Below are 14,522 nucleotides of genomic sequence, written 5' to 3'. Positions count from 1 at the left end.
CAACATGGAAACCCTGTCTCTACTAAAAATAACAAAAATTAGCCGGGTGCAGTGGCAAGCGCCCGTAATCCCAGCTACTTGGGAGGCTGAGGAGGAGAATTGCTTGAACCCGGGAGGCGGAGGTTGCAGTGAGCAGAGACCGTGCCATTGCACTCCAGCCTGGGCAACAAGAACAAAACTCTGTCTCAGACAATTAAAAAAAAAAAAAGAACTTGATTGTATTTAGCTGAGAAATCGTGTTTTATAAATTCATTTCCCTGCTTTTTAAGAGTTTTTGCATCTTTAACTTAGTTTCTTAGTAATGGGCCTTTTGGGAATTTTAGGCTTATGCTACTCAAAAAAGAGATTTGTTCACATCTACGCTGACGGTAGGGAGCTAGGGAAATACCAAGGGCCAGGCATGGATGGTGCCAGTACCTGTCAATGTGTGTAAAAGTTGAAACTTGGTGGCTAGGCATGGTGGCTCATGCCTGTAATCCCAGCACTTTGGGAGGCTGAGGTGGGCGGATCATCTAAGCCTCCATCTAAGCCAGGAGTTTGATACCATCCTGGCCAACATGGTGAAACCCCATCTCTACTAAAAATACAAAACTTAGTGGGGCATGGTGGCAGACACCTGTAATCCCAGCTACTAGGGAGGCTGAGGCAGGAGAATCACTTGAACCTGCGAGTCGGAGACCACAGTGAGCCAAGATAGCACCACTGCACTCCAGCCTGGGCGACAGAGTGAGACTGTCTCAAAAAAAAAAAAAAAAAAAAACTGGCGGGGCGCGGTGGCTCACGCCTGTAATCCCAGCACTTTGGGAGCCTGAGGCGGGCGGATCACGAGGTCAGGAGATCAAGACCATCCTGGCTAACAACGGTGAAGCCCCGTCTCTACTGAAAATACAAAAAAATTAGCCGGGCGTGGTCGCGGGCGCCTGTGGTCCCAGCTGCTCAGCAGGCTGAGGCAGGAGAATGGTGTGAACCCGGGAGGTGGAGCTTGCAGTGAGCCGAGATCGTGCCACTGCACTCCCAGCCTGGGCGACGGAGCGAGACTCCGTCTCAGAAAAAAAAAAAAAAAGGCTGAAACTAGGAGGGAGAGAGGTGCTCTAAGAAAGACAGGATGCAGTTGTTGAGCCCCCAACCCCTTCCTGTTTAACTGAAAAGCTGACCCTGAGCTAGGAGGCAGGGTCCAGGCACAAATGGAGGCTGTGACCAGGACTGAGCTGCCTATTCTCTGCCTTTCCTACCTGGCTACAGATCGTTCAGAAAGAGGCAGAGCGGGCCGAACGGGCCAAGGAGCGGGAGAAGCGGCGAAAGGAGCAAGAAGAAGAAGAGCAAAAGGAGCGGGAGAAGGAAGCCGAGCGGGAACGGAACCGACAGCTGGAGCGAGAGAAACGTCGGGAGCACAGTCGGGAGAGGGACAGGGAGAGAGAGAGAGAAAGGGAGCGGGACAGGGGGGACCGAGATCGGGATAGGGAAAGGGACCGAGAACGAGGCAGGGAAAGGGATCGCAGGGACACCAAGCGCCACAGCAGAAGCCGGAGTCGGAGCACACCTGTGCGGGACCGGGGTGGGCGCCGCTAGCTGGGAAAACACTAGAGCTGCAGGTACCAGCCACTCGGCCCCAGGGGGTTATGGCCACAGAGGGATAGGCACAGTCTCCACCACCCTGGAGCCAAGGGTCTTTCACATCACCTATCCCTACATACATACCAAATGGAAAAGTGGCCATCCTTTTCCCCCCAAACACACCCCCTTAACCTATCTCTTGGGACTTAGCCCGACCCTCCCTCTCATTTCCCATTAAGTCTGAGAGGCAAGAGCTAGGTTAGGCAAGGAGGTGGTTGGCCAGAGATGGGGAACAGCCAGGTGCCCCAGTCCTCTGATTTTTCCTCCATCCTGCTTACCACCTCCCTGGGTACTTACAGCCTTCTCTTGGGAACAGCCGGGGCCAGGACTGGGTCACCTATGAGCTGAATCAGCATCTCCTCCTGAGTCCCAGGGCCCCTGCAGTTCCCAGTCTCTTCTGTCCTGCAGCCCTTGCCTCTTTCCCACAGGTTCCACTTTATATCCACCTTTTCCTTTTGTTCAATTTTTATTTTTATTTTTTTTATTATTAAATGATGTGGTCTATGGAAAAAAAAATAAAAATCTGACTTAGTTTTAAACTGTGTGAGTGGCTTTCTTTGGGCAGGTTAAGAAGCCACTGTGGATATCTGAGCGTGGACATCTGAGGATATCTGGAGTAGGAGTTGCTCTCATTCCATGTGTTCCTTTAGGCTGACTGCTTCCTGCTTATTGAACTTCCCACGTCTTTTATCCCCTGCCTTGGCCCTGACCAACCCAAAGCTGTGGACCTTCCTCATTCGGGAAGGCATGGAGCAACCTGTGTCCGTGGCGGCACCCCAGCAGGGCTAGGAGGGTGGGTCCTCTTCTGGTTCCTGGTCCTGTGCACGGTTAAATTAGGGGTTTGGTCACCTGCCTGCCACCTTGGTGCCTCCCACAACTACCACCAGGGGGCGGCAGCTCCTCGCTCTGTTGGCCCCTGTAACCGAGCTTCCCAAGAAGGGTTCCACTGCCCGCCTCCGACCTCCCGCCGATGTCGTGCCTCTGTTCCCGACCCGCTCCCTGGGCCCGGGCCTCGGACTCTCTGGACCCTTCTGCCGTCCTTAAGTGTCCCCCAGCTGACCTGCTACCGTGCTTTGCATGGGCTCTCAAAACGCCGCCGCCTTGCAGCTGGGATTCCATCCACACCAGTCCCAAAAGCCAGCCGGGAACCGGGAGCCCGGAGCCGGGTCTCTCCGCAGTGGGCTCCGAATTCCCCACCTCACCGCGCGCTCGCCCGTTTTCCGCTGCGGGCGGGGACTGGCAGCTTCGCGCTCCCGGGTGCACCCGCCCCGCCAGCTCTTCGGAAATGGCCTGGCGCCGTGGCCTGGACGTCCTCCCGCCCGAGTGCCCTGCCGGGCGCTGCGGGCCCGGTCCGGGAGGGGCGCCGCATCTGTATGCGCCCCGCAGCCCAGGAGCGCCGAGGGGGCGGACGCGCGGCGCCGCCTCCGCCCCCGCCCCCGCCGCGCGGGCCCGGCTGGCCGGGGAGGGTCGGAGGCTGGGCTCTCCTCTCCCGCGCGGCGCGGAGCCGCCTCGCTCCTCCGCAGGCGGAGTCTTCTTCCCCCGCCCCCTCCGTCTCGCTCCCTTGTTCTCGCCGGGGCCGCTCAGACCTGCAGCGGAGCCGCGGCGCCCGCTCCAATCGGCTCGGGGCTGTGCCCCCGGGACCCGGCGACGGGGGCGGGCGGGGGCGCTTCCCGCCGGCCTGGGCCCCTCGGCAGTGCCAGGTAAGGGCGCCTGCCCCGGAGCAGGGGTCGGGAATCCGCGGAGGGGTAGGAGGGGGCCCGCAGCCTGCGGGGGTCTTCGGAGGGGTGCGCTCCGTGGCTGGGAGCCCGCTGCCGGCTCCCTTCTCCCGCGCTCTGCCTCTTTCCCTTCTCCCCTCGCACCTCTCTCCCTCTTTCTTCTCTCGATTTCTCTTCACCCTTCCTTCTCTGCCTGTTTGCCTTCCTTATCCCTTCCCTCTGTCTCCCCAACCCTTCCCTCTCCCTCTTGTCCTTTTTCCATCTCCTCTCCCTCTTTGCCTTTTTCTTTCTCTACCTTTCTCCCCTTTCCTGCCTTTCTCTTTTCTCTTTCTTGCTCTCCTTTCCCTCCCTCTCCTCTCCCCTTCCTGCTATCCTGTTTCCCACTCCTCTATCCCCTTCCTTCTCGCCTCCTCATCCCGCCTTCTCTCTGGTCCCCAGCCTTCCTCCGGTTTCCCCCTTCCCTCGGGAGCAAAGGGACTGTCAGGTGTGTGTCTGCTCTGAGGGAGGAGGGGCAGAAGCCACAGCTACCTGAGGGGTCCTCCCCCCCGCCCCTAGGAGAAAGGAGAGCAGTGGGAAGGGTCTCCTCTCTAGCTCCCTTCCCGTGGCCCCTCCCTGCCTCCACCCCTCCTGTCTGCTCCTTCTCCCAGAATTAAGTTCCCGAGGCCTGGCTTGACACCCCCGAAGCTGAGGTCTGCCCCTGCCTGCCCGGAACTGCCCCCGGTGACCCGTTTCCAAGCCTGGCCCCTAGGACTCCTCTCTGCCTTCAGACACCCAGGCTGCTGCCCTGGTCTCTCTCATTCTGTCTCTTGCCACTGTTCTGTTTCTGTCTCTCATCCAGTCATTTCTCTGCCGGACAGTCCCTGAGTCAGTCTAGCCGTCAGTCATTATCTGTCTCTAGCCTCTGGGTGGACCTCTCTCCCCGGTCACCTCCCCCTGTCCCCCACCCTGTATCCTCTTCCTTCAGCTCTGGCTCCCAACTCCTGTCTCACGAGCCCAGTCCCCCTTCAAGGACTGCACTGGCAGCGTGGGCTGGAGACAGGGCCTGGAGAGTGGGGCTCCCCCTTGTGGGGAGGGACTTTCACAGACTCTCAGCCCTGCCTGAGGCTGCACTCCTTGTCATCTCATGCTGACCCTAGACACCTTAAGGCCACACCTCCATGAATCCCAACTCCGTAATTTTAAGCCCTTTCTCTGGTAGCCCCGCCTCCTCCAATACCTGGCTACGTGCCCAACCTGGGAGGACAGAGACCAGATTTGGGATTCCAAGCCCTCCCAGCATCCCCTCTCCTGTGTTCCTCCCCAGTTCTCTACTCAGAGTTGACTGACCAGAGATTTATCAGCTTGGAGGGCTGGAGGTGAATACATGCAGAGCCTGGGTGGAGGAAGGATCAGCCTCTCTGCTCTCTGTCTTAGTCTGAGTTCTGGGCAGTGGAGTGTCTGGTTCCTTGGAGGTCTGGTCTTCAGCATCTAATTTTGCGGGGGAGGAGGGCTAGGGGTTTCCTTGAGCCTGAGCAGCTGCTTGTCCTGCAGGTGTGGATCCATGGGGTAGCCTCAACGCATCTGCCCCTCCACCCCAGCCAGCTCATGGGCCACGTGGCCTGGCCCAGCCTCAGCACCCAGGGCCAGTGAACAGAGCCCTGGCTGGAGTCCAAACATGTGGGGCCTGGTGAGGCTCCTGCTGGCCTGGCTGGGTGGCTGGGGCTGCATGGGGCGTCTGGCAGCCCCAGCCCGGGCCTGGGCAGGGTCCCGGGAACACCCAGGGCCTGCTCTGCTGCGGACTCGAAGGAGCTGGGTCTGGAACCAGTTCTTTGTCATTGAGGAATATGCTGGTCCAGAGCCTGTTCTCATTGGCAAGGTAAGGATGACCCCTCCCATGTCTACTCTGACACCAAGCCCTCAGGCCCTGCCCTGCAACTTCATCACTTCTGCAATGACCTTGGTCCCTCAGGACTCCCAACGCTCTACCCAAACCTAGACTCTTTAACCCTGTCTCTGTACTTGGAGCCCTCTGCCATCTTTTCGTGACCCCTGCAGCTGCACTCGGATGTTGACCGGGGAGAGGGCCGCACCAAGTACCTGTTGACCGGGGAGGGGGCAGGCACCGTATTTGTGATTGATGAGGCCACAGGCAATATTCATGTTACCAAGAGCCTTGACCGGGAGGAAAAGGCGCAATATGTGCTACTGGCCCAAGCCGTGGACCGAGCCTCCAACCGGCCCCTGGAGCCCCCATCAGAGTTCATCATCAAAGTGCAAGACATCAACGACAATCCACCCATTTTTCCCCTTGGGCCCTACCATGCCACCGTGCCCGAGATGTCCAATGTCGGTGAGCACCCCAGCTCTGAATGCCCCAGTTCCCGTCTTCTGGAGCTCTCTCACCTCTCCTTCCCTTCTTGTTGTCTGCCCCAGAACCTGCCCCCTTCAATTCAGCCTCCCTCGTATCTGCATCCCCCCCCATCGGTTGTTCTTCCCCATCCTTCCCTGCTGCTGCTGAATGGCGTGCTGGCATCCCCCACAGGGACATCAGTGATCCAGGTGACTGCTCACGATGCTGATGACCCCAGCTATGGGAACAGTGCCAAGCTGGTGTACACTGTTCTGGATGGACTGCCTTTCTTCTCTGTGGACCCCCAGACTGGTGAGGATGGAGCCTGGGAGCCCGGTGGGGCAGCCAAGGGGACAGACACCCTCTGACCAGCATCTCTCCCTAGGAGTGGTGCGTACAGCCATCCCCAACATGGACCGGGAGACACAGGAGGAGTTCTTGGTGGTGATCCAGGCCAAGGACATGGGCGGCCACATGGGGGGGCTGTCAGGCAGCACTACGGTGACTGTCACGCTCAGCGATGTCAACGACAACCCCCCCAAGTTCCCACAGAGTAAGGGGCCATTGCTGCCACCTGAGCCATCCTTTGATCACCCCACCCCTACAGTGTCTGGAGAAACCTTCCCTCCTCGCCTCCTCCCCAGCCAGATCCTGGGAGAATAAAGTGCTGTGGGGAGGGAGGAGGGCTGGGGACCTCTCTGAGAAGGTGTCTCCCCTCTGTCATCCCAAGGCCTATACCAGTTCTCCGTGGTGGAGACAGCTGGACCTGGCACACTGGTGGGCCGGCTCCGGGCCCAGGACCCAGACCTGGGGGACAACGCCCTGATGGCATACAGCATCCTGGATGGGGAGGGGTCTGAGGCCTTCAGCATCAGCACAGACTTGCAGGGTCGAGACGGGCTCCTCACTGTCCGCAAGGTTAGCCTCCTGCCTGTTAATGCTTTCTCTTAGACCTGCCTCCTGCCGACCCACAGGGCACATATTTAACTGTTCTTCTAGAACAGACTCAGGATCTCTCTGTTGGAGCTTAGAGATCATGGTCACCTCCTCATCCTTCAGATGAGGCCCTGGAGCTTAGAAAGAAGAAGTGATAGCAAGTCTATGAGGGAGCTAGGGGCAGACCTAGAGTTCCTAAGTAATCTGCTGTGCATCCTGACCACCAAGGCCACTGTCCCTCCAGTGCCACCTCTCCTCACATGAGGACTGAGCACTGCATGCATGTGAGGAGGGGACTTGTCACCTTCCAAGAGCCTGGGACCTGCCCTGGTTTCCACATGCCTCACTTTTTCTCCCTCTCCCCTCACCATAGCCCCTAGACTTTGAGAGCCAGCGCTCCTACTCCTTCCGTGTCGAGGCCACCAACACGCTCATTGACCCAGCCTATCTGCGGCGAGGGCCCTTCAAGGATGTGGCCTCTGTGCGTGTGGCAGTGCAAGATGCCCCAGAGCCACCTGCCTTCACCCAGGCTGCCTACCACCTGACAGTGCCTGAGAACAAGGCCCCGGGGACCCTGGTAGGCCAGATCTCCGCGGCTGACCTGGACTCCCCTGCCAGCCCAATCAGGTAGGTGAGCTGGGATGTGGGCTGGGGAGCCAGATGGCAGGCTCTTCCCACCCAGAGAATGAGTAAATGTGCCCCCTACCTTATAGCAAATCACTCATATCCCAGCAAAAGCCTCCCTCCCTGCAGCTGGGCTTGCTGGTCTGCAGGCCTGGGTGCCAGGGGAGAGCCGGAGGGCCTGGCTGACCACTCCTCAACCGTCTGTCCACCCCTCTGGGTAGATGATGGTGGCCCCTCCCAGTGGCAGTGCAAGTGGATATAGTCTCATTTGATAAGTGGATCTCTATTGATCATTCCCAAAGTGCTTCACAGTTTACCCCCTTGCTGACACTGAATTCTCACAACAGCCCTATGAAGTAGGTGTTCTCATCACCACTTGTTTTAGAAGCCAGCCATAAGTGGTCACACAGTTGGTAAGTGGCAGAACAGCCACTCTTTCCCCCTCCCCGGCCAGCATCCCTGTCACAGCTCTGTGAGGGAGGTACTGGTGTCATTCCCACTTTTCAGTTGAGTAAATAGAGGTTAAACAATTTGCCCTAAGTCACATAGCCAGCCCAAGGCAGAGCAGGGCTGAAACACATGTCCCTGGGTTCTCAGAACAGGGCCCAGAAGTCTGAGAGTCAAGGTCTGTTTATCCCGCTTCTACTCCATTCTGTGTCTTCTCCCCCTCCCCCCGTGAAACCCAGTGGCCCTGAGTCTTAACAGGTGTTTAATGGTGGTGATCCCCCAGGGATATATGCCTTTTAAGGGGACTCCAACCTGAATTATGGCTCTACCCAGAGGAGTCATGAGGTCTGACAAGGTGAACAGAGGGAAGAAAGAAGAGAGGGGGTGGAACAAGCTGTGGTCCCGCCCCAGATCAGCCCCAGCATGTCTCTCCCTTCCCCAGATACTCCATCCTCCCCCACTCAGATCCGGAGCGTTGCTTCTCTATCCAGCCCGAGGAAGGCACCATCCATACAGCAGCACCCCTGGATCGCGAGGCTCGCGCCTGGCACAACCTCACTGTGCTGGCTACAGAGCTCGGTGAGGACTCCAGGGCCCACAAGGCGGCAGCAGCCTCCTGGCCGAGGAGCTGTCCCTGGGTGTGGGGGTGGAGAAGGGTGCTAACTGCCATCGCACCCTCACCAGCGTGCGGCCACTGAGTCCTAGCCTGGATCTGAGTCCTAGCCTGGATCCAAGTCCTAGCCTGGATCTGGGTCCTAGCCTGGATCCTTGCTACCAGGCAGGGCGGGCCTCCTGGTCTCCTAGTCCCCTAGGCTGGGCTGGGTGGGCACAGTGGGTGTGCCTGAGCATTCTCCTGACCCTCAAGTCATTCCCTTACCTGACTTGCCCCAACCCAGAAATAAACTAGACCTTACATAGCCCCCAACCTGTGTACTGACAGACCCCATCCTGCCCACTCTCTGCTTCAGGCTGGAGCTGGGGGCCAGAAAGGGGCTGGGTACCTCTTCTGGTTGCTGAGTGGAGTGCACCAGCAGCCCCACCCCAGAGAAGCCCTGTTGGAAGCGCTGTGGGAATCCCCCAAGGTAGGGGAGTGGACACCATAAGGAAGGGGAGGAGTGCCAGCTCCATATGCGGTCTCCCCCATCAGTCAGGCCAGCAGCGGGTTCAGCTGCCTCTGGGCAGCCCTAGCCCATACAGACAGGGAGACCTCCCTCCCGATCTTCTGTGAATAGTCCCTTATACCCCTGCTTATGCCTCAGGGGCTCCTCCACCCTTTTGTCTTCATACTGCATATGAAAACTGCCCTTGTATATGTGGATATCTGAATGTGTCAGTGAAGGCCTATATGAATGTGCACATGTGGGTATGTTCTCAGCCATGTGTATAATTCCAAATGTGGGGAAAGTATGTAGATATACACAAATATATATTTGTGGGTATATATCTGTAATGGATATATATGTGTTTACTGTTGAGTGTACAGAATTATATTTATGTTAATTATGCATATGTGTGATTGATATATACAGTGGTATGCACATGTAGCTGTTTGTATGTGTTTTGTGTATGTGGGTATTTGTGGACAGATAATTTATTACTTATTGTTTATCAGGCACTATTCATCTTCAAAATGGATTCATTCATTTAATCATCACCACAACTTTATGAGGGAAGTATGATTATTTCCTCATTTTTAAACAATAAACTCAGGCAAAGAGAAGTTAAGTAACTTCCCAAGGTCACATAGAGATTAAGTGGTGGAGCTGTGAGATCCAGTCAGTGTGCAGAGTCTGAGCTGTTATCCCCACCGTACTGCCTCTCAAATGTGTTTAATGCTATGTGTCTAGGTTTATGTTTCTATACATGCAACTGTGTGCATAGTAGATATGCACAGATACTACCTGGCAGTGCACGTGTTATCTGTTAGTGCATGGATGTCTGTGTGGATGGCCGTGTGTGTCCGTGTACACACAGTATGTTTTTGGCTGCTTATATATACATAGCTTTGTGTGTGTGTGCGTTTCTAGTCACTGTCTTCTCATTCTCCTGCCAAATCCTGCTCCTACCCGCACCCAGACATCACCTAGCAGTGCTGGGCCCTTACCGCAGGGAAGAAGTAGACCTCCTCCCCATCCTGTCTCTGGGGTATCCCAATCCTTTTAGCCAGGCGATCCACTCAGCCTCCCCTGCCCATGCTGCATCCTCAGCCCCTTTCCCCAAGGCTAGTCAGCTATCCCTCTGCCTAGGGGAAAGACTAAAGGAATTGGGAGACCTGGCCTAAGAGAGGTGACAGGGAGACACACTTTGCATTCTCTCTTGGAAGGCACTGGCAGTGAGAAGCAAGGTAGGGTAGTGGTAGGGAGTCACCTGATGAAGGGATGGGTAAAGATGGGGCCTGTGTCTGGCTGTGGTACCCAGGCTGGCCTGGGCTCTGCACCCTGTAGATCATGCAGCACCTTTCTACCCAAGATAAGTGATGCTCACTGCTGTACTACAGCCTCCCAGACCTCTGATGGGATGTGTGTGTGTGTGTGTGTGTGTGTGTGTGTGTGTGTGTGGTGTGTATATGTGTCTGTCCACCCCACTGGTGCTGTGCATGGCCTCTATGCATGAAAATGCATTCTATGGGCACTGGGTGTTGTCGGGGGATGTGGCACCACATTCACTATGCATATCAAACATTTGCTTCATGTACATTGCATTTGTTTTAAATGTTGAGTGTACATTGGATATATGGTATGAATGTGTTTTGTATATTCATGGCTGTTGTCTGCATGCAACTCGTATGCACCTTCCCTCTGTCTTTCATTTATGCTGCATGTGCCCTGCATGTGGGTTATTGTATATGTGTATCATGGGTGCGGCATTCCTGTTGAATGTCTATTGTGTATCGCACATATCTTGGGTACTACATGAATATTGTATGCACTTGGTATTGTTCCATTCATTCTGCAACATTGTTTTCTACCTGTACATTACATGCATATTTCATGTGTTTCTTGTGCATGCTATATGCTTCATGTGGCATCCATGCCCATGCACCACATATGTTACGTGTAAACTGTGTGGTGTGTGTGTGGCGTGTATGTTTTGGTGTTCTGCCTTCAGACAGTTCTGCACAGGCCTCGCGCGTGCAAGTGGCCATCCAGACCCTGGATGAGAATGACAATGCTCCCCAGCTGGCTGAGCCCTACGATACTTTTGTGTGTGACTCTGCAGCTCCTGGCCAGGTGAGCAACTGAGGCAGAGGGGTTGGGACGTCCAGGCCTCCAGCAGCCCACTCCATACAAGGCCTCTCTCTTCTTCCTCCCAGCTGATTCAGGTCATCCGGGCCCTGGACAGAGATGAAGTTGGCAACAGTAGCCATGTCTCCTTTCAAGGTCCTCTGGGCCCTGATGCCAACTTTACTGTCCAGGACAACCGAGGTAGGTGGCCTCCTACAGCCATGTCCATACCTGCCTCTGTCCCCTTCTCCTCCTCCTCCACCCCTAGCCCAGCCTGCCTGACCCCTGCCCCACCTGCCTCGGCCTTCTACCCAACAGAAGATGGGTGTGGACTTGTACTCATTCGTTGGCTCTTTGTAAACCTTCCCCATGGGAAGCTGGCTCTATGGGCTGGACCTATGGGCTGGCTCTATGGGAAGCTGGCTCTATGGGCTGGACCTATGGGCTGGCTCTATGGGGGGCTGGCTCTATGGGAAGCTGGCTCTATGGGCTGGACCAACCCTACCTGGAAGGTGTCCCAGAAGATACCTCAACACCTTCCCTCTCCCACAGATGGCTCCGCCAGCCTGCTGCTGCCCTCCCGCCCTGCTCCACCCCGCCATGCCCCCTACTTGGTTCCCATAGAACTGTGGGACTGGGGGCAGCCGGCGCTGAGCAGCACTGCCACAGTGACTGTTAGTGTGTGCCGCTGCCAGCCTGACGGCTCTGTGGCATCCTGCTGGCCTGAGGCTCACCTCTCAGCTGCTGGGCTCAGCACCGGCGCCCTGCTTGCCATCATCACCTGTGTGGGTGCCCTGCTTGGTGAGTCAGGCCACAGTGGTACATAGCTGTGCGATCTGGGCCTGCAGGGGTGTGGAGAAGAACCAGGCCTCTGGACACAGGGAAATCCACCTTAGGGCTTGAACGACCCTCATACCTGGATTTTCCCACCACCTGATGCATCCAAGAGAAAAGCTCTGGCCTCTATCCGTGACCTGCCAATCCATAATGACAATGACAAGCCATAACAATGGTTTACTGAGCCCCTACTCTGTGCCAAGTATAGTGCTGGGCACGTCACTTGTGATATTTCATTTTATTATGTCAACAACCCTTAGAAGTAAATATATTTTCCCTATTCTCCACATAAGTAATCTAAGGGGCAAATTGAGGCTTCAGAGAAGTCTAGCAACTTCCCATGGTCACATAGCGAGTAAGGGCTGAAGTCAGGATTCAATGCAAGGTTTGCTAGATGTCAGCCCCTAAGCACAGGGCTTCTGTCACCTGATGGGTCAGCCTTTCACATGGAGACAGGCCGCCCGCTCCCGGCCCTGCTGGCTCAGGGCCTGTGTGCGCGCCTCTCGCGCAGCCCTGGTGGTGCTCTTCGTGGCCCTGCGGCGGCAGAAGCAAGAAGCACTGATGGTACTGGAGGAGGAGGACGTCCGAGAGAACATCATCACCTACGACGACGAGGGCGGCGGCGAGGAGGACACCGAGGCCTTCGACATCACGGCCTTGCAGAACCCGGACGGGGCGGCCCCCCCGGCGCCCGGCCCTCCCGCGCGCCGAGACGTGTTGCCCCGGGCCCGGGTGTCGCGCCAGCCCAGACCCCCCGGCCCCGCCGACGTGGCGCAGCTCCTGGCGCTGCGGCTCCGCGAGGCGGACGAGGACCCCGGCGTACCCCCGTACGACTCGGTGCAGGTGTACGGCTACGAGGGCCGCGGCTCCTCTTGCGGCTCCCTCAGCTCCCTGGGCTCCGGCAGCGAAGCCGGCGGCGCCCCCGGCCCCGCGGAGCCGCTGGACGACTGGGGTCCGCTCTTCCGCACCCTGGCCGAGCTGTATGGGGCCAAGGAGCCCCCGGCCCCCTGAGCGCCCGGGCTGGCCCGGCCCACCGCGGGGGGGGGGCAGCGGGCACAGGCCCTCTGAGTGAGCCCCACGGGGTCCAGGCGGGCGGCAGCAGCCCAGGGGCCCCAGGCCTCCTCCCTGTCCTTGTGTCCCTCCTTGCTTCCCCGGGGCACCCTCGCTCTCACCTCCCTCCTCCTGAGTCGGTGTGTGTGTCTCTCTCCAGGAATCTTTGTCTCTATCTGTGACACGCTCCTCTGTCCGGGCCTGGGTTTCCTGCCCTGGCCCTGGCCCTGCGATCTCTCACTGTGATTCCTCTCCTTCCTCCGTGGCGTTTTGTCTCTGCAGTTCTGAAGCTCACACATAGTCTCCCTGCGTCTTCCTTGCCCATACACATGCTCTGTGTCTGTCTCCTGCCCACATCTCCCTTCCTTCTCTCTGGGTCCCTGTGACTGGCTTTTTGTTTTTTTCTGTTGTCCATCCCAAAATCAAGAGAAACTTCCAGCCACTGCTGCCCACCCTCCTGCAGGGGATGTTGTGCCCCAGGTCAGTGCCCCTAGACTGTGGGGCAGGGCGGTGGATGAAGGCTCCCACTCCCCACTGCCTCTAACGTGGCTCCCCTGTCCTTACAGACCTGCCTGCATGGTTCCATCCATTACTCATGGCCTCAGCCTCATCCTGGCTCCACTGGCCTCCAGCTGAGAGAGGGAACCAGCCTGCCTCCCAGGGCAAGAGCTCCAGCCTCCCGTGTGGCCGCCTCCCTGGAGCTCTGCCCAGCTGTCAGCTTCCCCTGGGCATCCCAGCCCTGGGCATTGTCTTGTGTGCTTCCTGAGGGAGTAGGGAAAGGAAAGGGGGAGGCGGCTGGGGAAGGGGAAAGAGGGAGGAAGGGGAGGGGCCTCCATCTCTAATTTCATAATAAACAAACACTTTATTTTGTAAAGCTGGAGCCCTGCTTCTGTTTTTGCACTCAGGTTTCTATACAAAGCTTCATCGTCCCAAAGGACGGGAGGCGAGGCCTAGCCTATTGCCTCCCAGTTCATTCTCCTTTCTCCTTGGGGGAAAATACACTTCACCTCCTTCTAGATAGGGGAAGACTTGGGTTAATTCCATGAGGGAGTAAGGAGATGATGACTCTGCCCCACTCTCACCACCAACTTTCTGGGTCCTCTGTTGGTCTCAAGCGGTCCAAGAAAATTAAGATATAAGGATTCAGCCAGGCGCGGTGGCTCTTGTCTGTAAATCCAGCAGTTTGGGAGGCTGAGGCGGGTGGATCACTTGAGGTCAGGAGTTCAAGACCAGCCTGGCCAATGGTAGAAACCCCATCTCTACTAAAAATACAAAAAATTAGCAGGGCATGGTGGCGCATGTCTGTAGTCCCAGCTACTCAGGAGGCTGAGGCAGGAGAATCACTTGAATCTGGGAGGCGGAGGTTGCAGTGAGCCAAGATCGCGCCACTGCGCTCCAGCCTGGGTGACAGAGCGAGACTCTGTCTCAAAAAAAAAAAAAAAAAAGATATAGGGATTGGTCAGAGGGCAAGATGGGCAGGAGAAGTAGAGGGTGAAGTGTGAGAGCTGCTGAGAAGAGGGCCGGAGGGATAAAAGACTAAGAGAGGAAGGGGGATTCTGGACTAGGAAAATAATGGGGGTGGCAGGCAGCAGCGGGGACAAACCAGCCTTTCCTGGGGCTCGTAGTGCCAAGTGGGGAAAGGGCGGACCAGAGTGAGACAGTCACATTGAATCTGGGCCCGCTGCTCCCACCTTTAACTCTCCCCTAGGCCATGGTCTTAGTCTTTGCAGAACACAAAGGAGGAGG

The 14,522-nt window shown here is 56.9% G+C and overlaps 2 protein-coding genes and 1 long non-coding RNA gene across 18 annotated transcripts in view, besides 3 other annotated features; 2 read left to right on the top strand and 1 right to left on the bottom strand.

The window, feature by feature from the left end:
- Window positions 1–2,153, top strand: part of ACIN1 (apoptotic chromatin condensation inducer 1) — a 37,051-nt gene extending 34,898 nt beyond the window's left edge. For all 13 annotated transcript variants that reach the window (XM_047431115.1, XM_047431113.1, XM_047431114.1 and 10 more), the window contains one exon: window positions 1,243–2,153. In XM_047431115.1, the coding sequence (XP_047287071.1) occupies window positions 1,243–1,569 (327 nt within the window). In that variant the 3' untranslated portion in view covers window positions 1,570–2,153. The remainder of the gene's footprint in view (window positions 1–1,242) is intronic.
- On the bottom strand, window positions 2,068–3,057 carry LOC105370705 (collagen alpha-2(I) chain-like). Its single transcript, NR_169511.1, has 2 exons — window positions 2,675–3,057; window positions 2,068–2,432 (listed from the first exon to the last, which is right to left on the bottom strand). It is a non-coding gene; the product is annotated as a collagen alpha-2(I) chain-like (long non-coding RNA).
- Window positions 2,968–3,117: a silencer, noted in NCBI's record as "silent region_5601". NCBI's record gives its function as "represses an Ori minimal core promoter by ATAC-STARR-seq in GM12878 lymphoblastoid cells {active_cell/tissue: GM12878}" and the evidence as "EXISTENCE:reporter gene assay evidence [ECO:0000049][PMID:35858748]".
- On the top strand, window positions 3,197–13,650 carry CDH24 (cadherin 24). 4 transcript variants are annotated; one of them, NM_022478.4, is made up of 14 exons: window positions 3,197–3,314; window positions 4,860–5,184; window positions 5,364–5,658; window positions 5,851–5,970; window positions 6,044–6,211; window positions 6,389–6,576; window positions 6,968–7,221; window positions 8,108–8,244; window positions 8,634–8,747; window positions 10,774–10,895; window positions 10,979–11,090; window positions 11,442–11,690; window positions 12,238–13,256; window positions 13,343–13,650. In NM_022478.4, exons 2-13 carry the CDS (start codon window positions 4,984–4,986, stop codon window positions 12,735–12,737), a joined length of 2,460 nt encoding a protein of 819 aa, NP_071923.2. In that variant the 5' UTR covers window positions 3,197–3,314; window positions 4,860–4,983; the 3' UTR covers window positions 12,738–13,256; window positions 13,343–13,650. The 4 variants fall into 4 exon arrangements, with proteins under 4 accessions (NP_071923.2, NP_659422.2, XP_011535391.1 ...); NM_144985.4 differs by lacking the exon at window positions 8,634–8,747; XM_011537089.2 differs by lacking the exons at window positions 10,774–10,895; window positions 10,979–11,090; window positions 11,442–11,690; window positions 12,238–13,256; window positions 13,343–13,650 and adding an exon at window positions 9,278–9,407.
- Window positions 3,198–3,317: a silencer, noted in NCBI's record as "silent region_5600". NCBI's record gives its function as "represses an Ori minimal core promoter by ATAC-STARR-seq in GM12878 lymphoblastoid cells {active_cell/tissue: GM12878}" and the evidence as "EXISTENCE:reporter gene assay evidence [ECO:0000049][PMID:35858748]".
- Window positions 8,047–8,547: an enhancer, noted in NCBI's record as "H3K4me1 hESC enhancer chr14:23521379-23521879 (GRCh37/hg19 assembly coordinates)". NCBI's record gives its function as "activates a minimal SCP1, AML or CMV promoter by ChIP-STARR-seq in primed H9 embryonic stem cells {active_cell/tissue: H9 hESC(primed)}" and the evidence as "EXISTENCE:reporter gene assay evidence [ECO:0000049][PMID:30033119]".
- Window positions 13,651–14,522: the final 872 nt, after the last annotated feature.

This window comes from Homo sapiens, chromosome 14, assembly GCF_000001405.40.
Source record: "Homo sapiens chromosome 14, GRCh38.p14 Primary Assembly".
NCBI classification, from domain to species: domain Eukaryota; kingdom Metazoa; phylum Chordata; class Mammalia; order Primates; family Hominidae; genus Homo; species Homo sapiens.
This window is presented reverse-complemented; position numbering and strand designations above follow the sequence as displayed.